Raw genomic sequence first — 2,005 nt, 5'->3', positions numbered from 1 at the left:
AAACCTAACCAGACTACATTGTAGACCTATGTAACTTGTAAGCAGATTGAATCAGTAGGAAAAAAAAAATCCCAACAAAGAAAATCCCTAGACCTATTGTCTTCATGAGTGAATGAAGAACATTAATCCTTCTCAAATATTTTCAAAAAAATTGATGAGGGGACACTTTCTGATTCTATGACATTAACATTACCCTGATACCAAACCCAGACAAAGACACTACAAGAAAACTACAGACCAATATTCCCTATCAATATTAATCCAAAAATTCTCAACCAAATGCTAGCAAACTGAATTCAGAAGTGTATTAAAAAAATTATATACCATGACAAAGTGGCATTCATTCTTTGAATGCAAGAATACTTCGACATATGAAAGTTTATGAATGTAATACCTCACATTAACAAAATGAAAGGAAAAAGCCACATGATCTGTTCAATTGATGCAGAAACAGCTTTTAACAAAATTCGACATTCTTTCAAATAAAAAATACTCAACAAACTAGGAATAGAAGAAACCACTTCAACATAATAAAAGCCATATATGAAAACCCCATAATTAACATAATTTTCAATGGTGAAAGACCTAAAGCTTAAGAAAGAATGCCTGTTCTTGGTACTTCTGTTTGGCAAAGCATTGGAAATTCTAGCCAGAGCAAACAGGTAAGAAAAATAAATAAAAGGCATCCAACTTCAAAAGGAAAAACTAATATTATCTTTATTTGCAGATGATATGCTCTTATATGCAGAAAAACCCTGAAGATTCCACACAAACACAAAATATTTGAACTAAGAAATGAAATCAGCAAAATAGCAGGATACAAAACGAACACAAAAAAATCAGTTGCATTCCTATATGCTAATAATAAAGAACGTGAAAAGGAAATTATAGAAATAAAGCCATTTACAATAGCATCGAAAAGGATAAAATATTTAGGAATTAACTAAGGTTGTGAAAGACTGGTACAATGAAAACTATAAAACATTGCTGAGGCCGGGCATGGTGGCTCATGCCTGTAATCTTGGCACTTTGGGAGGCTGAGGCAGGTGGATCACAAGGTCAAGAGATTGAGATCTTCCTGGCCAACATGGTGAAATCCCATCTCTACTAAAAATACAAAAATTAGCTGGGTGTGGTGGCACATGCCTGTAATCCCAGCTTCTCGGGAGGCTGAGGCAGGAGAATCACTTGAACCCAGGGCGTGAAGATTGCAGTGAGCTGAGATTGCACCACTGCACTCCAGCCTGGTGCCACAGTGAGACTCCATCTCAAAACAAACAAACAAACAAACAAAAAACCAAAAGAAAACATTACTGAAAGAAATTCAAGAAATAAATACATTCCATGTTTACAGACTGGAAGGCTGTATTGTTAAGATATCAAAACTACTCAAAGCAGTCTATAGATTTAATCCAATCTTTATTAAATTTCCAATAATGTTTTTGCAGAACTAGAAAAACTCATCTTAACATTTATATGGAATCTCAAGGGACTCAGAACGACAAAAACAATCTTGGAAAAAATAGCAAACTTGAAGACAAAAGAGAAAAAGAGCATAGCTAGAGAACTCATCCTTCCTCATTTGAAAATATACTACAAAGCTACAATCATCAAAACAATATAGTACTGGCATAAAAAACATATATGACAATAGAACAGAACAAAGAGCCCAGAAATAAACCCTCACATATATGGTCTAATGATTTTTTACAAAGGTGCCAAGACCATTCAGTGGGGAAAGAATAGTCTTCAACAAATGGTGCTGGGAAAACTGGATATCTACATACAAAAGAAAAAAATTGGACTCTGATGTAACACAATGAACAAAAATTAACTCAAAATTAATTGAAGACCTAAACATAAGACCTAAAATTATAAAACTCTTAGAAAAACAAGGCAAAATGTCTACAACAGATTTGGCAATAATTTATTGGATATGACAGTAAACGCATTGGCAAAAACAACAAAGATGGACAATTTGGACTTCATTAAAATAAAAAAAGTG

The sequence above is a fragment of the Homo sapiens genome, chromosome 9 (genome assembly GCF_000001405.40).
Source record: "Homo sapiens chromosome 9, GRCh38.p14 Primary Assembly".
NCBI lineage: Eukaryota > Metazoa > Chordata > Mammalia > Primates > Hominidae > Homo > Homo sapiens.
The sequence above is the reverse complement of the archived record's forward strand: the minus strand, read 5'-3'. Positions refer to the sequence as shown.